Here is a 25,910-nt window from a genome sequence, read left to right as displayed (position 1 = left end):
CCACAAGAGATGTTACTTTTGATGTCACAGACGGGGTCCACCCTTTGATATTTTTTGTCATATCTTAGGGAGATATTACTTCAAATATCACAGTGGGTGTACACCCATTATATTATTTGCAATACCCTAGGGAGATATAACTTTTAATATCACAGTGGGTGTACACACAATTTGTGTATCCTAATATCCTAAAAATAAATAGGACACCTAATATCACAGTTGGTGTACACACTGTGATATTATTCGTAATATTCCAGTGGGATGTTACTCCTCAGGTCACAGGGGGTTAATACCCTGAGACAGTATTCCTCATATTCCAGGGCGGTGATACTCCTAAAGTCACAGGGTGTGTACCCCCTGTGATATTATTTGTCCTATTCTAGGGGAACGTTACTCCTAATGTCACAGGGAGGTACACCCTGTGATATTATTCATAGTATACGAGAGGGATATTAGTACTAATGTCACAATGCGTGTACACCTTGTGATATTATTCATAATATCCTAATATCACAGGGGGTGTGTTCCCTGTGATATTATTCCTAATATCCTAGACGGATATTGTTCCTAACATCACAGGCTGTGTACCCCTTGTCATATCATTCATAATATCCTAAAACTACGTTATTCCTCATGTCACAGGGGGTGTTCACCCTGTGATATTATTCGTAATAGTTTTATGGGATGTTACTCCTAATGCCACACGGGGTGTACACAGAGTCACACAGTGATATGACCTGTAATATTCTATGGAAATATTACTCGTAAATCACAGGGGCTGTACTTCCTGTGATATTATTCTTCATATTCCAGCGGAATGTTACTACTGTTGTCACAGGGGGTGTACACCCTGTGATATTACTCGTCATATCCTAGCGGGATGTTACTACCAATGTCACAATGCGTGTACACCCTGTGATATTATTTGTAGTATCCTAAAGAGATGTTACTACTAAGGTCACAATGCATGTACACCCTCTGATATTATTCGTTATATCCTCGGGGGATGTTACTCCTAATGTCACATGGGGTGTACTCCCTGTGATATTATTCGTAATATCCTAGGGGGATGTTACTTTTAATGTCACCGGGGGTGTATATCATGTGTATTCAACATCTGTGATACTATTCCTATATCCTAGGGGCATGTTCCTCCTAATGTCACATGGGGTGTTCACCATGTGTGTACACCTGCTGTTATATTATTCATAATATCCTAGGGGAATGTTACTCCTGATGGCACAGGCGGTGTACACCATGTGTGTACACCGCCTGTGTCATTATTCATAATATCCTAGGGAGATGTTTCTTTTAATGTCACAAAGAGTGTACAAAATGTCACAGAAGGTGTACAGCTTGTGACATTATCTGTAATACCCTAGAAGGATGTTACTCCTAATATGTCACAGGGGTGTACACCCTTTGATATTATTTGTAATCTCATAGAGAGATATTACTTCAAATATCACAGTGGATGTACACACATAGTGTATACCCTGTGATATTATTCATAATATCCTAGGGAGATACAACTCCTGGTATCACAGTGCGTGTACCCCGTGTGTGTACACCCTTGATATTAGTCGTAATATCCAGGGTAAATATTACTCCTAATATCACACAGTGTGCACACCCTGTGATATTTTTCATAATATTTAAGGGAGATACTGCTTCTAATATCACAGTGGGTGTACCGCATGTGTGTATACTCTGTGACAGTATATTTTATATCCTAGGGAGGTATTACTCCTAATATCACAGTGGGTGTTCACCCTGTGATATCATTCTTATTTGACCTTGCTGCCTTTTTTAACCCACACTACAAAAGGAATGGAACAGATAAGAAGATATTGAGATTAGACAGTGCTGCCGTGCGGCCGCCGCAAGACACTTTTAATATCCCTGTTTCCCAGGCTGTAGATAAAGGGGTTGAGCATGGAGGTGACCACCGTGTACATCACTGCAGCCACTGCACCCTTTCTGGGGGAAGATGACACATCTGAACTGAGGTACCCTCCAACACCTCTTCCATAAAATCAGCAAACAACTGACAGGTGAGACCCACAGGTGGAGAAGGCTTTATACTTCCCACCTGATGATGAAACCCTCAGAATGGAGGAAACAATTTTATAGTAAGAGAAAAGGGTCCCCGAGATGGGAAGAAAACCAAATATGGCAGTAGGGAAATACATGATTATGTTATTGATGAAGGTGTCACAACGGCAAGATGGGGGAGTTGAGAAAGGTCACAGAAGAAATTAGGAATGTCCACCTCCTTGAAGCAGGTCATTAGTAAGGCAATCAAGTTGTACAGCTGGGAGTCTAAAAGACTGAGAAAAAAAAAAGACAGCAAAACTAGGAAGCCACAGAAACACAGGTTCATGATGGCTGAATGATATAGAGGGTGACAGATGGCTACAAACCGGTCATAGGCCATCACACTCAGGAGCATGTCTCTCTTCCGTGCCTCCAAAAATGGCAAAGAGAGACTTCTGAGTCAGGCAGCCTGCATAGGAGATGACTCTGCTGCGAGACTGGATGTCCACAGTCATCTGGGGGACCGTGGTGGAGGTGAAACCGATGTCAGGCAAGGACAGGTTGGAGAGGAAGAAGTACATGGAGGTGTGGAGGTGGGAGTCAGGGCTCATGGCCGGATGATGAGCAGGTTCCCCAGCACCATGACCAGGCACATGGACAGGAACAGTCCAGCAAGGACCAGCTGCCGTTCTGGATCCTCTGAGGTTCTAGGAGGAGGAATATAGAGACATCTGTTAGATTCTGTGGGTCTGTATAGTTTGGACAACTTTTGCCTAGAAAAGAGCGTTGAGAAATCAGAAACAAGTAAACCAACACCCAGCATTGTGTCTGCATTTTGGATACAAGCAATTCACAAGTAATGTTTTCAGATTCCAGAGCAATCCACACTCAGGAATATTTTGCAGTTCTGACAAAATGAATTGTCTTATAATGCTTTCATCATTGATTCTGTGTTATTCAGTTCTTGCTGTACATACCTGCCTTAGAGACACTAGATTCAAGAATGTTCCAAGAACCAGATCATCATAAATAACAAATTCATAATTGCTAGAAAATACAGCCTATCTTTTCCGAAGAAAAATATGTAATAAAACCATTCTCTTCACTTTAAGAAAAAGGTTATCCTAACTAAAGAAAATTAAGAACTCAAATATTTTTTATTCTAATAGATTGATACAAATTTCCTTGATTTAGAACATTTATAAACACTGTATAACAGCTGAGACCATGCCATCTGGAAATGAACTTAAAGTTGATAGTTCATAAGCAGAAAATAGTTCCACATGCGAGTTAGGTCCTAGTGATTTCATCATTATGTTTTCTGACTTTTCTCCTTCAAGAGAGTAATTGCTTACTCAAATCGGTGGGTCTTGTTTTAAAATTCATGTAAGCTATAACTCCTGTCCTTAGCTTAGGGGGACTTAGAGTTTTCATCAGAAAGTTTGGCCAAACGCGGTGGCTCACGCCTGTAATCCCAGCACTTTGGGAGGCCGAGGAGGGCAGATCACGAGGTCATGAGATCAAGACCATCCTGGCCAACATGGTGAAACCCCGCCTCTACTAAAAATACAAAAACTTCACCCGGTATGGCGGAGGGCACCTGTAGTCCCAGCTACTCAGGAGGCTGAGGCAGGAGAATGGCTTGAACCTGGGAGGCAGAGGCTACAGTGAGCTGAGATCACACCACTGCACTCCAGCCTGGGCAACAAGAGCAAAACTCCGTCTCAAAAAACAAAAAACAAAAAGAATCACGTAAGTCGAAGTCACACTGATGACAGCCAATTTTTGTGAACCAAGGAAGTGTCAATTCAATAATTCACATAGATGTTTACTTTTGCTGTCTCCTATGTGCCAAGCAAGATGTAGGCTCTGGGGAGTCAGAAACAAAAGAGACTCACTTGTTCCTCTCACAATACTCAGTACTTACTGAGATAAGGACAAAATAAAATGTCCTGTCTGGAATGCAGGGAAACCAGAACTTCAGGTCAGGGGATATTTCCATTGAATTGTATGGAGTTTAAGCTTAAAATATTAACAAATGTATCTAAAATTCACTTTACCTTTACTTTATGCATCCATCATAGAGATCATGCAGCGGGAGCCCACGATCGGTTTAATCATCACTCACTTCCATTGGATCAACTACAAATCAACTCAGATGAGAGTGCTGAGTCTCAGAGGATGGACATCTCACCCCTTGCCATACAGATAAGTAGAAAGGATGGTATTCAAAATTAATGGCCAGACTCTAAGTCCCAGATACTATACTTCATGGTCTTCCAACTCTCAAAAAGTTGTGGGAGTTTTTTTTTGTTTTTGTTTTTGTTTTTTTGAGACGGAGTCTCATTCTGTTGCCCAGGCTGGAAGTGCAGTGGAGTGATCTCAGCTCATTGCAACCTCCGCATCCCAGGTTCAAGCTATTCTCCTGCCTCAGCCTGCTGAGCAGCTGAGATTACAGGCGCCCGCCACTATGCCCGACTAATTTTTTTCTATTTTTAGTAGAGACGGGGTTTCACCATGTTGGCCAGGCTGGTCTCGAACACCTGAACTTGTGATTCGCCTGCCTCAGCCTCCCAAAGTGCTGGGATTACAGGCGTGAGCCACCGCGCCCAGCTTCAAAAAGTTTAAAGCAGAGCTCAGAGGTCTTAACCACAGGTACATCTGAGGAGCATTTTTGAAACAGTTTCCAGCTTCCTCAACAGGAAGAGAAGCCAAATTCCGAATTTATGACTCCTTTGAGGAAGTCGAGAGCTGTAAGGAAAGCCAGGAACAGGGGCAAGGGAGAGATGCATCCCGAATGATCCTGTGCCAATTCTTTCTGGAATCTTTGATGTGATCTCAGCTGCCCTTTCTATACTTGACACAGTGATTGTGGCACCCACTGGTCTAGCTGTGGTCTACAAGGAACCCCCAAAAGGAAGGGCACAGTGAGCAGGGGCATCGGCCTGAGTGACAAGGATTTGAGAGGGCAGGTTGGATGCAGGGAGAGGACTGGCCAAATGCCATGTGTCTGGACTTAGGCTGCCTGGTTCAAACTGGACTTCACCCTTTTTGACTTCATGATCTGGTACAAGTTATATGAAAATGCATTGCTCCTTTTCTAGTCTGTAAAATAATAATGAAATGTGCACTAATAACTGGGAGACTACGCAGAGGAAATGAAACAAGCTGCATAGACCACAGAGCTCAGAGCCTGGCCTTTAGGAAGCCCTCAGTAAGGGTTCATGATGCCATGGTGTCTGTCATCATCCTCTTTATCCTCATCATCACCTTCATAATCTTTTTATTGTTCTTAGAGAATAGTTTAGAGGGACTCATTCCCTGCTATCATGGGTGAGATGTCTATGAAAAGGACAACCAGTGGGGGAGGAAAGCAAAATTTTGAATAAGATTTCTGAGACCGCCCCCCCCCGACCATAACCAAGAACAGAAACTCCACAGTCTGCTGAGCCGACAGTTTGCACGTTGGTCTCCTCCCATCTGCCCACCGCACTCTCCTGTTTTTTTCCTGAGGATGAGGATACAAAACAAGGCTCCCAACCGTCCCTCAGCACTCACTGAACTGCCCTTCCCCTCTGCTGGGCCATGACCACGGAGAACAAGTCCACTGTCCTCCCTGCGTGGTGCACGATGGAGGCTCAGACTCCATCCTCAAGGCTGGCAAGAAGACAGGGTGAGACATGAGCCTCCTGATACAGGTGATGGGTGTGGAGCCCACAGGACTGGAACCTCACACTGCAGGGCTGGAGGCACAGACTATTTACTATTCTATGGCCTGGGGGGCTCAAGGCACAGAGCTCCTCATTAGCCAAAGTCGCCCAAGTTCCCCAACCTTTAAGGATTTCCTCATAATAATGCAAGAAGAAGAAGAGAAAAGTGAGTGTCCATAGAAGCTTTGGGGCTCTTCCTCTAATCAGGAGAAAGCTGGTGTGTATTATTCACTTCTTTCTTTTCTTTTTAAAGATCCAACTGCTTTAATTTTAATCTTTCATTATGGGAAAATATACCACATATAAATATTAAAAATTATAAATATATATTATTTCATATAGAATGGCCAGTATAAACATTTACAATTTCCACTATTTTTCAGTTTACAGTTTAATGACATTAAGTACATTCACATTGTTTAGCAACCATCACCGCCATCATCTCCAGAACAGTTTTATCTTTCAAAATGGAAATTGCATCCATTAACCAAACTCTCCATTCCTCTCTCTCGCCCACCCCTGGGGGCCACCATTCTAGTTTGCAACTCTATGAGTTTAACTACTCTAGACCCTTGATATAAGTGGAATCATACCGTGTTTATTTATTTATTTATTTATTTACTGGAGACAGTCTTTCTCTGTCGCCCAGGCTGGAGTGCAGTGTCGTGATCTCAGCTCACTGCAACCTCCACAAGTTCAAGCGATTCTTGTGTCTCAGTCTCCCGAGTAGCTGGGATTACAGGCGTGTGCCACCACACCCAGCTAATTTTTGTATTTTTAATAGAGACAAGCTTTCACCATATTGGCCAGGCTGGTCTCGAACTCCTGACCTTAAGTGATCTGCCTACCTCAGCCTTCCAAAGTGCTGGGGTTACAGGTGCAAGCCACTGAGTCTGGTCGTGTTTATCCTTTTTGGATTTATTCATTTCACTGACGATAATCTCTTCAAGGTTCATCCATGTTGCAGCCTGTGTCAGAAGTGCCTGTCTGTTTTGTTTTTTGGTTTTTTTTTTTTTTTGGTTTTATTTTATTTTGTTTCATTTTGTGTTTACATGGAGTCTCACTCTATCACACAGGCTGGAGTGCAGTGGCACAATCTGGGCTCACTGCAACCTCCACCTCCCGGGTTCAAGCGATTCTTGTGCCTCAGCCTCCCGAGTAGCTGGGACTATAGGCACACGCCACCACGCTCGTCTAATTTTTTGCGTTTTCAGTAGAGACGGGGTTTCACCAAGATGGCCAGGCTGGTCTTGAACTCCTGACCTCAGGTGATCCTCCCACCTCGGTCTTCCAAGATGCTGGGATTACAGGCATGAGCCACCGCACCGGCCAGAAGTGCCTGCCTTTTTAAGGCTGAATAGTCTTCCATTGTATGAATGCACTGCAGCGTGTTTTTTCATTCATCTGTCCACGAACCCTTGGGTTGCTTCCCCATTTTGGCTGTTGTGAATAATGCTGCTATGAATATGGGTGTACAAATATCTCTTCCACTCCTGGCTTCTAATTCTTTTTGGTAGGAACCCACAAGTGCAACTGCGGGAACATCTGATGATTCTGTTTCTAATTTTTCCAGTACACGCCATACTATTTTCCCTGTTCCTTCATGGTTTTACATTCCCTCCAATCATATTCGAGCATTCCTACTTCCCTCTCGTTTCACCAATGCTTGTTTATCATATCCATCCTAATGTGTGGTATCACATTATTGGTTTGATTTGTGCTTCCCTATGATTAGTGATTTGAACATCACTTTAGATGTTTATTGGCCATTGCTATATCTTCTTTAGGGACATGTCTACTCAAATCTTCTGACCATTGTTAATGGGATGCTTTGGGTTTCTTGTTGTTTAGTTCTGGCTGTTCTTTATATATGATGGATATCAGCCTCTTTTCAGATATATGATTTGCAAATATTTTTCCTAATCCACGGGTTATCTTTTCACTCAGTTCACAGTGTTTTTTGATGTACAAAAGTGTCTGTCATTTAGATGTAATCCAAGGAATCTAATTTTCTTTTGTTGCCTATGCTTTTGGTGTCACATCCCAGAAAGCATTGCCCAATCTGATGTCATGAAAGTGTGGCCAATGTTTTCTTTTAGGCATATTATACTTTTAGCACTTGGGGTGAGGTCTTTGATCCAGTTTGTGTTAATTTTTGCACCTGGTGTGACATAGGGTCCACCTTCATTCTTCTGCATGTGGAGATCAAGTTTCTCCAACACCATTTCTTGAAAAGGCTGCTTTTCCACCAATGAACTTTCTTAGCACTCATGTTAAAAATCACTTGAACATATAGGTGAGAAGTTATTTCTGGGCTCAAAAACAAACAAACAGCAAGAGACAACAGATAAAGATACAGCATGGGCCGAGCGCAGTTGCTCACGCCTGTAATCCCAGCACTTTGGGAGGCCGAGGTGGGCGGATCACCTGAGGTCAGGAGTTCAAGACCAGCCTGACCGACAGGGAAAAACCCCCGTCTCTACTAAAAATACAACATTAGCTGGGTGTGCTGGCGCATGCCTGTAATCCCAGCTACTCGGGAGGTGGAGGCAGGAGAATCACTTGAACCCAGGAGGCAGAGGTTGCGGTGAGCCAAGACTGCACCACTACACTCCAGCCTGGGCAACAAGAGCGAAACTCCATCTCAAAACAAAAAAAAAACAAAAAAACAGCATGATTTCAAGAGCAGAAAGAGAAGAGCTTAAAAACCAGCATAATGAGAAAGTTAGGAAGCTTCTTACCAAAGCGTCTGGAAATATGCAAGAAATTCTTGTGAGTTAAATTTTCATACTGTACTATCAAACACTAGAACTCACTTATTCCATCTTTCTGTATTTTGGGACCCAATTATCCACTTCTCTTCATTCCCCATCCCACCCCTTTTCTTCCTAGCGTCTGCTAACCCCCTTTATACTCTCCACCTTCCTGAGATTCCTTTTGTGTGTAGGTGTGTGATGGAGTCTCTTTCTGTTGCCCAGGTTGGAGTATACAGGCACAATCCGGGCTCACTGCAACCTCCGCCTCCCGAGTTCAAGTGCTTCTTGGGCCTCAGCCTTCCGAGTAGCTGAGACTACAGGCACACGTCACCACACCCGGCTAATTTTTTGTGTTTTTAGTAGAGACGGGGGTTTCACTATGTTGGCCAGGAGGGTCTCGAACTCCTGGCCTCAAGTGATCCGTGTGACTCGGCCTCCCAAAGTGCTAGGATTACAGGCCTGAGCCACCACACCTGGCCAAGATTTTCTTTTTTGTTCCTACGTATAAGTGAGGACATGTAATATTTGTCATGCTGTGCCTGGCTTATTTCACTTAATATACAGACCTGTAATCTCATCCATTTTTTTCTGCAGTGGAGAGGATTTTACTCCTTTTTAGGCTGAATAATACTTCATTATGTGTGTATACCATAGTTTCTTAATTGAAACAAATTTCTAAAAAGCAAATATTTTTAAAATGTCTCAGAATGCGAAACTTTAGGGATACTGTGCCCATTTTATTCTTTTCTACTTCCCATTTTATGTATATGCAAGTGTATGTAATAAAGCAGCAATCAATGTATCAATCTATAACTTCAACAAATGTAAAATGAAAATGCTAAGTGGTGGCTGGGCGCGGTCACTCACGCCTGTAATCCCAGCACTTTGGGGGGCCGAAGTGGGTGGATCACCTGAGGTCGGGAGTTCAAGACCAGCCTGACCAATATGGAGAAACACTGTCTCTACTAAAAATACAAAAAAAAAAAAAAAAAAAAAATAGCTGGGCGCGGTAGCGCATGCCTGTAATCCCAGCTACTCAGAAGGCTGAGACAGGAGAATCGCTTGAATACGGGAGGCAGAGGTTGCAGTGAGCCGAGATTGTGCCATTGCACTCCAGCCTGGGCAACAAGAGTGAAACTCTGCCTCAAAAAAAAAAAAAAGAAAGAAAATATTACTCCCATTCTCGCAGGGGTTGTTCACCCCGATGATATTGTTTTCTAATATCCAGGGAAGGAGAGTATGATATTACTCCCAATATTGCAGGGGGTGTACACCTTTTTGTGATATTGTGTCTAATATCCAAGGAAACAGAGGATGATATTACTCCCAATATCGCAGAGGGTGGACACCCCCCTGGGATATTGTTCCTAATATCCCAGCGGGGAGAGGATGATATTACTCCCCATATCGAAGGAAATGTACACTACCCCTGTGATATTGTTCCTGATATCCAGAGAGGAAAAGAATGATATTACTCCCAACAGCGTAGGAAATGTATACCCGCGCTTGATATTTTTCCCAATATCCGGGGGGGGAGAGGATCATATTACTTCCAATATCACAGGGTGTGTACACCCCCTCTGTTATCTTGTTGCTAACATCCAGGTTTGGGGAGGATGTCATTACTCCCAATATCTCAGGGGTAGTACACAACCCCCCGTGACCTTGTTAGTAATTTCCTGGGTGGAGAGGATGATATTACTCCCAATATCACCAGGGTGTACACCCCACTGTGATATTTTTCTAAATATTCAGGGCGGGAGAGGATAATATTACTCCCAATATCGCAGAAGGTGCACATCCCTCCTGTGATATTGTTCATAGTATCCAGGGAAAAAGAGGATGATACTTTCAAAATAGCCGGGGTTTTCCACGACCCCCACGCCATGATGTTGTTCCTAATATCCAGGTGGGCAAAGAATCATATTACTCCAAATATCGCAGGTAGTATACAACCCCCTTGTAATGTTGTTCCTAATATCCAGGGAAGGAGGGAACGATATCACTACCAATATCGCACCAGCTGTACAACCCACTGTGATTTCATTTCTAAAAACCGTGGAGGAGAGGATATTACTTTCAATATCGCACGGATGTACACCCCCCACCCCGTGATACTGTTCCTAATATCCAGAGGGCGAGAGGATGATATTGCTCCTAATATCACAGGGGGTTTTACACCAATATCCCAGGAGGTGGACACCCCCCTGTGATGTTGTTCCTAATATCCAGGGGGAGAGAGGATGATATTACTCCCAATATCGCAGGGGATGTAAACCACCCGTGATATTACTTCTAATATCCAGGCAGAGAGAGGAAGATATTACTCCCAATATCGCAGCAGGTGTACAATCCCCGTGATTTGGTTTTTAACATCCAGGGGGCACAGGATGATATTACTACTCATGTTGCAGGGAGTGTACACACCCCTGTGAAACTCTTCCTAATATCCAGAGGGCGACAGGATGATATTACTCCCAATATCGCAGGGGGTACACACATCCCTGTGAAACTCTTCCTCATATCCAGAGGGAGAGAGGATACTACTCCCAATATTGCAGGGGGTGTACACAGCCTGTGATACTCTTCCTAATATCCAGAGAGAGAGAAGATGATATTACTCCCGATATCGCAGGGGGTGTACACAACCCTGTGATATTGTTCCTAATATCCAGAGCGAAAGAGGATGATATGACTCTCAATATCGCAAAGGGTGTACACCCCTCCTGTAATATTGTTCTGAATACCCTGGGAGGGAGAGGCTAAGATTACGTTGAATATCACAGGGAATGTACACCCTCCCCCTCTGATACCCTTCCTAATATCCAAGGGAAGAGAGGATAATTTTACTCCCAATATCGCAGAGGCAGTACACCCCCCCCCCCGTGATATTGTTCCTAATATACAAGGGGGGAGAGGATGATACTTCTCCCAATATCGCAGGGGTGTTCACATCCCCGGTTACATTTTTCCTAATATCTAGGGGAGAGACAATTAGATGACAGCAAATGTCACAGGGTCTGTACATCCCTTCCTGATATTGTTCCAATATCCAGGGGGGAAGAGGATGATATCAAATATCAAACGGGGTGTACGTCCCCCCCCCCCCACGATATTGTTCTTAATATTCATGAGGGGAGACGATGATATTACTCCAAATATCGCAGGGGTTGTTCACACCCCCTGTGATATTGTTTCTAATATCCAGGGGGGAGAAAATCATATTACTTCCAATATTGCAGGTGGTGTATACCCCACCTGAAATAGTGCACTGAATATCCAAAGAGGGAGAGGATGGTATTAATACCAATATCGAAGTGTGTGTACACGCCCCTTGTGACATGGTTTTTAATATCCAGGGGACGGGAGGATGATATTAGTCCCAACATCACAGAGGGTGTACACTACCCCTGTGATATTGTCCCTAACTTCCAGAGGGGAGAGGATGATATCACTCCCAATATCTCAGAAGTTGTACATCCCCCGTGACATTGTTCGTCATATCCAGGGAGGCACAGGATGACATTCCATTGAATTTCGCGACAGGCGTACACGCACACTGTGATATTGCTCCTAATATCCAAGAAGGGAGAGGATGATACTTCTCCCAATAAAGCAGTGGGTGTACGTTACCCCTGTGTTATTGTCTCTAATATCCGGGGGCGGGGGCGGGGGAGAGGATAACATTCCTTCGAATTTGGCAGGTGGTTTGATGCCCCTTGTGGTATTGGTTTTAATATCCAGCGGGGAAGAAAATACTACTACTCTCTATATCACAAGAAATGTACATCCCCCCTGTGATATTGCTACTAATATCCAGGGGTAGAGAGAATGATGTTACTCCCAATATCGTCAAAGTGTCCATCCCCGCTTTGGTATTGTTCTTAATATATGGACGGCAAGTATCATATGACTCCCATATGGAAGGGGGAATACACGCCCCTGTGATATTGTTCCCAGTATGCAGTGGAGGAGAGAATGATATTACTCCCAATATCGCAGGAGGTGTACACCCCTCTGTGATCTTGTTCATAAGGTTCAATAGAAAAGATGATCTTACTGGAAATATTGTAAATACACTGTGTGTCCACAGTGGCTGCTAACATGCAGGGAGGGACCGGGGTTGATATCACTCTGCGCATCAGCGGGGAGTGTCCACACCCCAGCGATGTGGCTCGTGCTATCCATGGGGAAGGGGGGTAGGTATTACTCCCTGCATCACTGGGGGTGTCCACCCCCCTGCAATGTGGCTCGTAATATCCGGGGGGGGGTGATATTTCTCCCCGCATCGTGGGGGTCGCCCGCCCCCCTGCGATGTGTATCGTAATATCCAGGGAAAGAGAGGGGGGTGATAGTACTCCCCGCATCGTGGCGGAGCCTATCACAGGTCGGGATACTATACACCCCCTGGGATATTGGGAGCAATATCATACTCTTCCCCCCTGAATATTAGGAACAATATCATGGAGGGGGTGTTCACCCCCTGCCATAGTGTGAGTCATGTCATTTTCTCTACCCCGGACATCAGGAACAATATCACAGGAGTGGTGTACGACCCCTGCGAAATTGGGAGATATATCTTCCTCTCCACCTTTGGATATTAGGGACAATATCACAGGGTAGGTCTACACCTTCTGGATTATTGGGATTAATACCGTCCTCTCCCCGCCTGGATATTAGCAATAAGATCACAGAAGGGATGTACACCCAGTGCGATATTTGCAGTAATGTCATCGTCTACCCCTGGCTATTAGGAACAACATCACAGGGGGGTGTACATTTTCTGCGATATTGTGAGGAATGTCGCAATATTACGTATCGCAATTAATAATATCAATTATTAATTGATATAAATTATCAATATTAATAACTGATAATATAATTTTTAAAATCACTACCGATAATAATGACAATATGCAATAGTTATACTGACGATAACAATAAATTAATATTAATTATTAATAACGCCTGATATTAATAACCGGTACTGATCTTATTCATCAGAAAACAGTAATATTAGCTCCTAATAATTACTATTAATGTTAATAATCCAAAAACTTTTTATTATCAATTATTTCTTAATATTAATATTGGTACTTAATATTAATGTTAATAATAAATGAGTAATAATTAATACTAATATTACTCCTAATACCACAGTGGGTGTACACCCACCTGTGATATTGTTCCTGATGTCCAGGGAGGGAGAGAGCATGGTATTACTTTCAATATCGCAGTAGGTGTACACCCACCCGGTGATATTGACCCGAATATAATATCCAGGGGGTGGAGTATGACGTTACTCCCAATATAGCAGTGGGTGTACATCCACCCGGTGATATTGCTTCTAATATTCACGGAAGAAGAGAATGCTATTACTCCCAGTATCGCAGGAAGTGTACACCCCTTCTGTGGTATTGTTCCTAATATCCGGAGGGGGAGAGGGTGATATTACTCCCAATATTGCAGGCTGTGTGCAGCCACCCTGTGATATTATTCCTAATAGCCAGGAAGGGAGAGGACGATAAGACTCCCCATACAACAGGAGATGTACACCCACCACGGGATATTATTCCCAATATCCATGGAGAGGAGAGGCTGATATTACTCCCAATATCGCCGGGGGTGTACATCCATTCTGTGACATTGTTCTTAATATTCAAAGGCGGAGAGGTTGATATTACTCCCAATATCACAGAAAGTGTACAAACCCGTGTGATATTGTTCCTACTATCCAGAAGAAGAGAAGATGATACTACCCCCCATATCGCAGGAGGTGTACACCCACTCTGTTTCCTAATATGCAGGACGGGAGAGGATAATATTCTTCTTAACAGTGCAGGGTGTGTACAGCCCCCCTGTGATATTGTCCTTAATATTCCAAGGCAGAGAGGATGATGTTACTCCCAATACCGCAGAAAATGTACACCACCCCAGTGATATTGTTCCCATGATCCAGGAGAGAAGAGGATGATATTACTTTCAATATCGCATGGGGTGGACACGCCCCCAGTGATATTGTTCCTAATTTCAACGTGGGAGAGGATGATACAACACCCAATGCCGCTGGGGGTAGAAACACTCCTGTGATATTGTTCTTAATATCCAGGGGGAACAGGATGCTATTACTGCAAATACTGCAGAGGATATACACCCATCTGTGATATAGTTGGTAATTTCCAGAGGCGGAGAAGACATTACTGACAATAACGTAAACACGCTATGGGACCACCGTGGATCATAATATCCAGCGGGGGAGAGGGGGGTGATATTACTCCCCGAATCGCGGGGGGCGCCCGCCCCCCTGCGATGTGGATCGTAATATCCAGTGGGGGAGAGGGGGGAGATGTTACTCCCCGCATCGCGGGGGGCGCCCGACCCCCTGCGATGTGGATTGTAATATCCAGCGGTGGGGAGACCAAGGAGCGTGGATCACTTGAGCCCAGGAGTTCAAGAACAGCCTGGGCAACATAGCGACACCCCATTTCTACAAAAAAAAAATTTTAATTAAGTGGGTGTGATGGCACATGCCTGTAGTCCCAGATACTCCAGAGGCTGAGGCAGGAGGATCGCTTGAGCCCAGAAGGCAGAGGTTGCAGTGAGCGGAGATCACACCACTGCACTCCAGCCTAGGCGACAGAGTAAGATTCCATCTCAAAAAAAAAAAAAAAACAGGGGGCAGGGGTGTAGGGGTGGGCAGTCTATGTTCCCTCTCCTTGAATCTGGACTGGCCTTGTGACCTGCTTTGACCATTGGTCATATTATAGCAGAAGTTCATCAGCTAACTTCTTGGGACCTAGCACCATGTGAAGACGCTCAAGCTAGACTTTAAAATGAGAGACCCAGAGGAGAGACAGAAGCTCCACTAAATCCAAAGAACACCTAGACTGATCAACAACAGAGGAAGCAAGGACAGCAAAGGGCGCTGCAGAGGCCAAGAGGTGAGAGCACAGCAGGAGGGAGGAGCAATGAATGGTCAGCCACAAGTGCATTTGGAGGCCAAGCCATAGCTTGACCAACATCCCAGGGGGTACAGAGGCGCAGGTTACCTGGATGTGCATGGAAGAGTTTCCCTCTTTGAGTGAGCCTTAATCCAACAAGAACAAAGCTTTGTGTTGGCCGGGCACAGTGGCTCAGGCCTGTAATCCTAGCACTTTGGGAGGCCAAGGCAGGTAGATCACCTGAGGTCAGGAGTTCGAGACCAGCCTGGCAAACATGATGAAACCCTGTCTCTACTAAAAATACAGACCAAAAAAATTAGCTGGCCATGGTGGCACACGCCTGTAGTCCCAGCTACTCGGGAGGCTGAAGCAGAATTGCTTGAACCCAGGAGGCAGAGGTTGCAGTGAACTGAGACTGTGCTGCCACTGCACTCCAGCCTGGGTGACAGAGAAAGATGCCGTCTCAAAAAAAAAAAAAAAATCAAAAACTTCATAGGAATTGTTCAAGTTAGATTTTTCTTTTTTTCTTTTTCTTTTTTTTTTTTCCGGAGATGGAGTCTTGCTCTGTCACCCAGGCTGGAGTGCAGTGGTGCAATCTCAGCTCACTGCAACCTACGCCTTCCAAGTTCAAGCAATTCTCGTGCCTCAGCCTCCCGAGTAGCTGGGATTAGAGGCACCCACTACCACACCCGGCTAATTCTTCTATTTTTTGTAGAGACAGGGTTTCACCATGTTGGCCAGGCTGTTCTCAAAATTCTGACCTCAGGTGATCCACCTGCCTCGGCCTCCCAAAGTGCTGGGATTACAGGCGTGAGCCACCGCGCCCCACCCGGCCAGATTTTTCCAAAAGGGTTGCTTTTGTTGAATGATAATCCAATTGAATAAAGAATCTGTCCATTTCTATTATGTTAGTCCAGCAATAGAGCCGACCTGACAGTCTTCAGCCATAACCACAGAAGCCAGCATTACAACCCAGAAGCTAAAGTTCCAAATGTATAACATGATAAAAACATATCAAGATAAGCTTGATTAATTTAGTAAAACATTACCAGTCTCTCGGCCAATACAGCCAACTTCCCAGCAGAGACAGCAAGTCAGGCCTTTAGGCTCCCTGGGTTTGGCCCCGAATCCCCATACCTCAGCCAACGGCGCAGCCTACTGACCCCAGTCTCTGGGTCAGTTCATTTTAGACAACAGGGTTGCCGGGCTGCCACAGAGATCAGCAAACAAAATAGTCCACCTGCAAGGAACAGGCCTTCCTTGTGACAACCGTGCTACAGGAAAACCAGCCAAGTTGCCGGAACCACAGAGTACAACAAAGTTTGGGTAAAATAGTTGTGGCAAAAATGAAATTCTGGGGCTACATTTCCATCCTGTATGAAACTATTGAACATCCTTGGTCAACACTCTCTGTAGAGATTTGTTTTATGTAAGTTGTAGTTCCAAAATGTGTGGGGTTTTTTGTTTGTTGTTGTTGTTGTTGAGACAGGGTCTCGCTCTGTCGCTAGGCTGGAGTGCAGTGGTGAGATCTCAGCTCACTACACCCACTGCCTCCCGGGTTCAAGCGATTCTCCTGCCTCAACCTCTCGAGTAGCTGGGACTACAGCTGTGCACCACCGCACCACACCAATCTAATTTTTTCTTTATTTTTTTTGTATTGTAGTAGAGACGGGGTTTCACCGTGTTAGCCAGGATGGTCTCGATATCCTGACCTCGTGATCTGCCCGCCTCGACCTACCAAAGTGCTGGGATTACAGGCATGAGCCGCCATGCCCAGCCCAAAATGTGTTTTTTCTAAATCACTCTTTAAAAGAGTTTTTTAAAAAACTACTTTACTAAAAAAAAGTAAATTTAAATTTAGTAACATGGCATTACAATCCTTGGGAATAAAATTAATTTTATGCTGTTGTCCTGACAAAGCAAAGGAAATGCATCTGAAGTGGCATGGTTTGGTTTGGTTTTGTTTTTTTCTAAAATTGTTCTACTCTTCCAAAGGGAAGGTTTTAGAATGTTTCCCAAAGCATGAATGTTGGAATGGTGGTCCCATGAGATGCTCCTCTAAAAAAAGAAGGAGGTGAAAGAATTATTTGGCCAAATCTGCTTTGAAATCCTCTCCCTTTTAGATTCATCCTAATATTGGCATAGGAATGCCTCTTTAAAGAACTACAATAAAGAAGCCTGTTTATCTTTGCTTAACACAGAATCCTCAAGTTATTAACCACCCTTTTTTCAAGTAACACCCATAAAAGTCCCTTGGCGCTAGAGGACCTTGGAACCCACTGAAAGAAACACCGCCTTGGTCTCTGGGGGAGGAGAAGTGGGACATAACTCCCTGCTTTCTGACAAATGGTTTTGAAATATTCATCATTTCTCTCAAATGACAAAGGATGAAATATTGTTTCTACTTTTAATTCATTTCCCCTACAATTCTTGTAACGTTTGGTTTGTAACAAAGACATTTTAAACAAAAAGATACATTCAAAATTGGGAACCAGCAGGCAGCAAAGGGTTCCATTCACCAGCCACCTGTGCCTTTGAAGTGGTTGAGTCTGTTCCCAATGTTTTCATAGCCTTTGGAACGCCCTCCCAGGTACAAGAGCATGCCGTTCAAATTTTCAACCAATTACGTGGCCGTGTCACTCTCCACTCCGCCTGCACGCTGGGAGAAAACGCAAATCCATGAAGGTGGTATTTAAAGAATTGACAGCCTTGAAAACATTTTGGAATTATTTGATTTCCTCACAAAACTTCATTATTGCTAAATCCAAAAGATGAGCCTGACAATATCTGTAAGTCTACCAACTGCCCTCCTTAAACTTTGTTGTTAACACTTCCCTAAATCTTCTGTTCACGCCAGCAGCATATCATATGACCAACTCCAATGTGCCTCCGTTAGATTCTGGGACATTTCTGGGAGTTCATACATTTTTGTTTGAGAAAGTTAAGGAGCTATCATACATCTACAGTTCCGCCCTCCTCCCCACTCTATGATCAAAGGAAAAATTTAAGGGGCAGTTCCACTTGTTCAATAACGTTCAATAACATATTTCTCCATGGTCCTCCATGTGCAGTGCAAAACAGCAGAAATCCCCATCCTAACAGAGCTGGCATTTGAGCAGATGGCTCGGGCAGGGAAGTTCCCAGCGAATATAGTGGCTCTTATCATGCAAACCGGTCCAAGAAGCAGACACATCCACCTTGAGCCAGATTTATTTGCAAGGAATGGGTTCAAAGTCATGAAAAGAGGAGAGTTCACATAGACTCAATTTCAACAAAAAGTAGCTCTCATAGGGGTGAATGGGTTTAGGTTGCTCAAGAAGAGAGAGATTCCAAAGATGGAGCTTGAGTTGAAGCCCCCAGGAGCTCCCCCTGCAGAAAGAGCAGAGGCTCAGGCTGAGGACAGCTCCCTGAATGGCCACCTGAAACCTGAAACCCGTGATGGGAACGCAGAGGGGACCATGGAGCAAAAACGCCAGGGAACTCTATATGGTGGAAAGGAGATAGCCAGATGTGGTGGCACACCCCTGTAGTCCCAGCTACTGGGGAGGCTGAGATAGGAGGATCACTTGAGCCCAGGAGTTTGAGACTAGAATGAGCCATGATTGTGCCACTGCACTCCAGCCTGGTGAAAGAGTGATACCCTGTTTTCATAAGAAAAAAATAACAAAAACAAAAACAAGAAAGGAGAGAGTTGGCTAAGCTTTATCACCTTTGTGGGTTTGGAACCCTTACTTGATCCTTCACTAAAGTACTTCTTGGGCATCCAGTGAGGTTCAGTGTGTATTGAGAGGATGGTGAGGATGGCAGCCAGGCGTGGGATCTGTATTCAAGAAGAAGCTGCCCCACTCGCTGGCCATCTATGGATTTCCAGCCAACAAGCATTTCCAACCACCTATGGATTTCCAACAACTGAGAACTCATGAGACTGGCTGCCCAGTCTTTCCTCTCTGCCAGAGCATGAAGAGGCCTCCATCATTTCAGGTTGATGCTCTGGTTCGAGCAGAGCACACTCTTCAGTGGCTTCCTGAGAAAATGTGCAAGACAAGTCCATTTTCTGGCTCTCCATAGAAGACCCACTTCACCTGCAGCCTCTCTGTGTTCTCATCGGTACTCCCTGCTCACTCACCGCAGCCGCAGCTCCCTGGGCCTCCCCATGGTTCCCCGACCACAGCAGGTGCGCTCCTTCCTCTGGGTCTCAGCACTTGTTCCGTGGCCTGGAGTGCTTCCCCCCCGCCCCCTCCCCACTCTCTCTATTGCCCATTCTCATTCAGGTCTTTGCTCTAATAACACTTTCTTGGCCGGGCACAGTGGCTCACACCTGTAATCCCAACACTTTGGGAGGCTGAGGCAGATGGGTCACTTGAGTTCAGGAGTTCGAGACCAGCCTGACTCAGCCTGCCCAACATGGTGAAACTCCGTCTCTACCAAAAATATAAAAAATTAGCCAGGTGTGGTGGTTGCGTGCCTGTAATCCCAGCTACTCAGGAGGCTGAGGCAGGAGAATCGCTTGAACCCGGGAGGTGGAGGTTGTAGTGAGCCAAGATCACACCATCACACTTCAGCCTTGGCAACAGAGCAATTCTCTGTCTCAAAAATAAACAAACAAACAAACAAACAAACAACACCTTCTTGGCAACACTTCCTGATGATTCCATTTAAAATTCCAGCCTTTCCCCTGCTCTCTCCATGCACCCTCCCTGCTTTGCTTTGCTCCATAGGTTGAACTGTGTCCCCCCCAAAAAAGACGTGCTAAAGTTCTAACCCTGAGTACTTCAGGATGTGACCTTATTTGGAAGTAGGATCATTGCAGATGTAATTAGTTAAATTAAGACGAGGTCATACTGAACTGGGGTGGGCCCCCAAATCCAAAAGGACTGGTGTCTTCATAAGAAATTTGGAGACAGAGACGCGGGAAGAACACCATGTGATGGGACAGAGCTGGGCTGTGCAGCTGCAAGCCAAGGGACACCAGATATTGCCGGCCACCACCACCGGTCACCACCGGAAGCGAGGCGGAGGCAAGGACGGATTCTCCTGCAGGTTTTTGTTTTGTTTTGTTTTGTTTTGTTTTGTTTTGTTTTTTTGAAGGCGGGGGTCTTGCTCTGTTGCCCGGGTTGGAGTGCATGGCACAATCATGGCTCACTGCAGCCTCAACCTTCCAGGCTCAAGTAAGTCTCTTGTCTCAGCCTCCAGAGTAGCTGGCATGCACCACCATGCCCGGCTAATTTTTTAATGTTTTTGTAGAGATGGGGAAGGGGGTCTCACTGTGTTGCCCAGGCTGGTCTTCAATTCCTGCACTCAAGTGATCCTCCTACCTCAACCTTCCAAAGTGCTGGGATTATGGGTGTGAGCCGCCCCACCCGACCCCCCTACAGGTTTCAGAGGGAGCATGGCCCTGCCAGCACCTGGGTTTCCTACTTCTGGCCTCCAGAACTATCAGAGAATAAATGTCTGCTGTTTCAAGCCACCCAGCTTGTGGTATTTGTTATGGCAGCCCCAGGAGCTAATACACCATCTGACAGGCTCTATTTTTAAATTGTGTACTTTATCATCTGTCTCACATCACAAGAAAGCAGGCAGCACAGGGGCAGGGAATTCCACCGGTTTTGTTCCCTTGGTGCCTGGAGCAGTGCCTGGCACACAGTACAAGCTTTACAAGCAGCGGCGGCTGGATGAGTGAGGGGTGAATGGTTGGAGCCTAGCACTCCTCCACGGCCACTGAAGACTCGGTGCCTGGCAGAGGGGTGGGCACAGCATCCTCAAAGGCCCAGAAGACTGGAGATGGTGGAGCACGTGAGGGACAGTAGTGAGAGACACAGGAGCAGGGAATCAAGAGGGCAGCAGTTTGGGGGGCCACAGGAAGATGCCATCCTATGAGCAGTGGACACCACATTGAGGGAGTGTGAAACAGGGACCAGACAGTGTGGCCAGACAGAACGCGCCTCTGCTGAAGACGACTCTGACAACAGTGTGGAGGATGGGTGGGCTGAGAAGCCCCAAGGGACACAGGGACCAGGTGCAAGGCGAGGTGGCGGCCGGGGACATGAAACAAAGCTTTCCGTCAGGCAGAAGGGACCATATTTGGTGACGCACTGGCTGTGGAGGGGAATCGGGGACAGCTGCTGGGGTGGAGAAACCATCCTCTAAGATGCAGAACCTGCCAGGGAGACGGCTCCCGAGGGAAGAACCTGGCTGTGGGTGTGCTCTGGCACCTTCCACAGTCCTTCCCCATCCGCACTAGCCTCTTGGTGTCCCTTCAGACATGCCAGGCTCATTCCCACCCCAGGAGCTTCCCGCCCCTCTGGCAGGAATACTGTGCCCCAGATCTTCCCTGGCTGAAGTCACCTCACAGGCCAGGTCTCAGCTCAAGTGTCACCTCCTTGGAGAGGCTTTCCCTGGCCACCTTCACGAAAGTCTCCCACAGGTTTCCATCCCGTCACTCTGCTGTCTTTCCATTGCAGCACAATCACTCTCTGCAGGCACCTCATGCATTTGCTTACAGGTACACTGAAGGGCCCTTCCCACCAGCAAGTGCGCAGGCTCTGTGGGACAGCGACCCCTCTGTCTCATGTACAACACATTCTCCAGTGCCTGGGACAGTAGCTGCTCAATAAATCTCTGTAGAATGGGTGGGCAGATTAACATGGCATTCAGGGGCCAAGTTAGGCTGGAGCTGCTGATTTCAGAGCCACGGGCCGAGAGGTGGCGATTTTCATCCAGGGAAGGGCAGGGAGCCCAGGGGAAGATCTAGGAGAGAGCCCAGAGGAACTTGGTGTTGGGACAGGAAAGAGGAAACCCTGGTACAAGACTCTCAAGGAGAGACTGGAGATGCCCCAAGGGCAGGCCTAGGAGCTGAGGGAGTCTGGATTCAACCCAGCAGGCGCTCCAGAGCCCCAGCGCCCAGACACTAAGGTGCCCTTCATCTCATTTGAGTGTTGCCAAGTGGGCATGATCACTATCTCATTTTCCTAAGGATGGAGAGGATTTAACTCACACAGCAAGTGGCAGACTCGGGGGGAAGCCCCAGCAGTGTTCTTCTGGAATCCAAAGTCTCATCCTTTCCTGTTGATGGCACCGAGCTTCTTCGGGAACTGCCACAGGAGCAGGAGGAGATCTGTGAGAAGGGGTCAGCCACAGCAGATGTGGCCAGGAGAGCAGCCGCTGGAGCAACCACCCAGGGGATCTGACGACCTGGCTGTCAGCTTAGCCGGGTGGAGGCCAGGCTGGAGGCCAGGCTGAAGAGGATGGAGACATAAACAGGAGGCAAGGAAGTGGGGACGGCAAGCGTGGGTAACTTTGGAGAAGTTTGGCTGTAAAGGCAAGTGAGACATAGGATAGTAACCGGAGGCGGCAGTGGGTGCAAAGAGCGCTATTTTAAGGTGGCAGAAACCGGAGTATGCTTGGACGTGACAGCCAGCAGAGGAGCAACTGAAGAATCGAGTTAAGGAGGAAGCGGGGTGGCTCAGCACCGGGGTGGAGGGGCTGCAGAGGCGGAGGCCCGGCCCTCCTCTGGCCACTTATTTTCCATGGGAAGTAGGAGGAGGAGAGGGCACCTGAGCAGAGTTGGGAGGTGGGAGGGACAGGTTTGAAAGAGCAGGGAAGGCTTGCAGTAATGCAGCAGGAGAGAGAGCTGGCTGCAGCGAGGGCCAGGCAGTGGGACCCCGTGACCATTCTCAGTGCCATCAGTCTGCTCAAGGGTGTGATGTTCTTTGGGGGCACCCAGCAGCCTGGGTAAAAGTTCAAAGGACAGAGAGTTGAAGTCATCCAGGCATGAGGTTTCACTGGGATGGTTCTGTGGATGGAGTGAAGTTAGGACATGGGCAAGACAGTGACTGAGGTAATGAGCCAAGCAATCTACACTGGAAGTGGGGCAGCCGGAATAGGCTGAGGGTCCGGGAGGAAGCAGAGGTAAAAGAGGTCAAGGGACCAGAGTGACAATGTCAGAGTGAGCAGGTTGAAAGAGTAGAAGGCATGGCCATAAAGCACAGCCTCTCAAGGAGGGATTCCAGAGAGGCTGCAGCTCTGAGCCAGGGCAGGTGGACACCCAGAGGAGCCGTGGGCGTGGGCGTGCGGCTGCAGCCTCGGCCTCTTGGCAGGACTCACAGAAGCCTCGTGGAAGTCAGCTGCGGCTGGGAAGGGCAGCCTGGCAGCTGTGGAGCAGGATGAGGATCCTTTTTGCGTGTTTGTTTTATTTTTTTATTGTCTTATTATGCCTAGGTGAGACATGTGCCTGGGATAGCATTCATACAGCATGAAAGAGTATATTCTAATAAGTCTGTTCTTCACCCTGCAGTGGGCTCGCAGAACCAGAGGCAACCACATCACCATCTTCCTCTGTGTGGAGCTTTTCTTGGAGCCTGAGGGGTAGTGGTGGTTGCAGCTCAGATGGGCAGAAGGCTTCCCCACTTCTTCCTTCCAAGGTCCCAGGCTGCAGGTCCCCTCTCAGCACCCCAGAACTGCTCAGGGTATGGAGGCCCCTGGCCAACCCCTCAGTTTCTGAAATCCTCTCTTCCTCAACTGCCAAGAGAGCCCACTCCTCGGGCTCCCTCCCCCATCCCTGAGCACTCCTTGTCTGCTCCTGCCTTTAAGTGGTGGTCCAACAGGGCTGCGTCCTGCATCCCCTGCCTTCTCGCCTCATTCTGATGCATTCCTGCAGCTTTACTTTCCACCTCCAGCAGCATCAGGGCTCAGAACTCTCTCTCCTGAACTCCAGTCCTATATACTCATTGTCCACCTGACAGCTTGCCTCCAACTCAAGGAGCCACAGCTGAGCTCATCAGCCGCCTGTCTGCCCATGGCCCCATCAGCAGCGGACATGAGTTATCTCATGGCCACCCAGCATCTGTTCACCCCAAGACTGAACAGGCCCAGATTTGGTGCACAGACAGCCCTCTGCTTTGGACCCTGTGGTCTGTGGTGTTCCTTCCACCTCTACCCCAACCCAAGTACAGCATGTTACCAAAATCTAGAACATTCCATACTCTCAGCGTAGTACTGTTTCAGGGTTAGCACAGAGTCAAACAGGCCCAATAGCAGCAAACCCCAGGGTTTGGCCCAAGTGACATGTGAGAAGACCTCCCTCTTTCCTGATAGCTTTGAACCTGAGAGGCTTAAAGCCAATGTCCTGCCTCACATGGAGGCCGGGAACGCACACCATCAACACTCACAGTGCATTTTCTTGGCATGAGGTATGTGCCAAGCACCCTAAATGTGTGGATCTCACTTCATCCTAACAAAACATGGCACGAGCTAGGCCCTATTTTTCCCCACCCTAAAGAGGAGGGAATTGAGCCACAGAGAGGTTCAGGGCCTTGTCAGGCCATGCAGCTAATAACTACGGTGCCAGAATTCAAATCCAGACCATGTGATTCCAGAGTCCTTGCTCTCAACCACCAGGCTCTACTGCCAGAAGCCGACACAGGCAAGCAGAGCTACGAGAGGAGGGGAAACTGAGGCCTGCTCCCACCATGGAGCCCTGAATCATGCTGGGCCTGTGGCCAGAACCACCCTTAGACTTTTCAGTTACATGGGACAATACGCTCCCTTCTGCCTGAGCCAAATATAGTTTGGGTTTTCTATAAATTCAGACCAAAAAAGTTCTAACTGATAACACATCCTCTCAGTGGGTGGCACCACCGCACACACAGTATTCAGGCTGGAAACCAGAACATCGTCCTCCCCTCCTCCCTCTCCCTCATCCCTCACATCCAACCAGTGACCAAAGCTGGTGTCTCAGCCCTGGCCCTCTTCTTACCCCTGGTCCAGGCGACTATCATTTTTGTTGGGTTTTGACAACAGCCTCCTTGCCTCCTCTCTACTTCCAGCCTGCTATCCCCACCACAGACTTACCCCCAAGTTCTTTAAGATCCAGATCTTAACATGTCACTTCCCGTATGAAACCTTCCAGACACCTCACTGCTCCTGGGGTAAGCTCCAACTCCTGCCCAGTCTGGCCCTACCCACCACCCTGGTCACACCTCCCTCATCCGCCCTGCCCCAGCCCCCCTGCTTCCGAAGCTCGCTGCTTCACACCTCCAAATCTCTGCCTGAAATGCTCTTGCCCTCTTCTTGCCAGGTAAATGCCCAGTGGTGATGCCACTTCCTCTGTGAGTTGTGCTTTGCTAATCCCAGCAGAGCTCTCATTCTCTGCTCTCGGCTCTTTCACTCTGGGCTCTTTTCATTGTCTACTTTAACTTCAGTTTTGTGAGCACCACTGTTTACTAGAATGTGAGCTCTTCAGGGGCAGGGGTTCTGTCTTGTTTTTTTGTGGTTTTTGTTTGTTTTTTTTTGTTTGTTTTTTTTTTTGTGGTTGATGTTGTTGTTGTTTTGAGATGGAGTCTTGCTTTGTCACCCAGGCTGGAGTGTAGTGGCACGATCGCGGCTCACTGCAACCTCTGCCTCCTGGATTCAAGCAATTCTCCCCATTATAGGCATGCACCGCCACATCCAGCTAATTTTTGTATTTT

The 25,910-nt window shown here is 46.7% G+C and overlaps 1 protein-coding gene, 1 long non-coding RNA gene and 1 pseudogene across 6 annotated transcripts in view; 1 reads left to right on the top strand and 2 right to left on the bottom strand.

Annotated features, from left to right (window-relative positions):
• SMIM41-AS1 (SMIM41 antisense RNA 1) overlaps window positions 1-20,911 on the top strand; it is a 29,007-nt gene extending 8,096 nt beyond the window's left edge. Inside the window, exons 2-4 of one of the 2 annotated variants that reach the window (XR_007063312.1) lie at window positions 4,122-5,964; window positions 15,271-15,444; window positions 16,625-20,911. This is a non-coding gene — a long non-coding RNA (SMIM41 antisense RNA 1). Of the gene's footprint in view, window positions 1-3,730; window positions 5,965-15,270; window positions 15,445-16,624 lie in introns of those variants that run through there. The other variant, XR_002957412.2, reaches the window with a different exon arrangement.
• OR7E47P (olfactory receptor family 7 subfamily E member 47 pseudogene) lies at window positions 1,804-25,377 on the bottom strand (annotated as a pseudogene). 3 transcript variants are annotated; one of them, NR_120438.1, is made up of 3 exons: window positions 25,294-25,377; window positions 22,439-22,535; window positions 17,838-18,103 (listed from the first exon to the last, which is right to left on the bottom strand). The product of NR_120438.1 is annotated as an olfactory receptor family 7 subfamily E member 47 pseudogene, transcript variant 4 (transcript). The 3 variants fall into 3 exon arrangements; NR_120439.1 differs by lacking the exons at window positions 17,838-18,103; window positions 22,439-22,535 and adding an exon at window positions 1,804-2,744; NR_120440.1 differs by lacking the exons at window positions 17,838-18,103; window positions 22,439-22,535; window positions 25,294-25,377 and adding exons at window positions 1,804-2,744; window positions 16,494-16,554.
• The window catches only part of SMIM41 (small integral membrane protein 41), a 28,552-nt gene continuing 4,509 nt past the window's right edge, over window positions 1,868-25,910 (bottom strand). Inside the window, exon 3 of the mRNA NM_001369216.1 lies at window positions 1,868-2,744. The gene's annotated coding sequence lies outside the window, so the exon portion shown is untranslated. The remainder of the gene's footprint in view (window positions 2,745-25,910) is intronic.

Source organism: Homo sapiens, chromosome 12 (genome assembly GCF_000001405.40).
Source record: "Homo sapiens chromosome 12, GRCh38.p14 Primary Assembly".
Classification (NCBI taxonomy): domain Eukaryota; kingdom Metazoa; phylum Chordata; class Mammalia; order Primates; family Hominidae; genus Homo; species Homo sapiens.
This window is presented reverse-complemented; position numbering and strand designations above follow the sequence as displayed.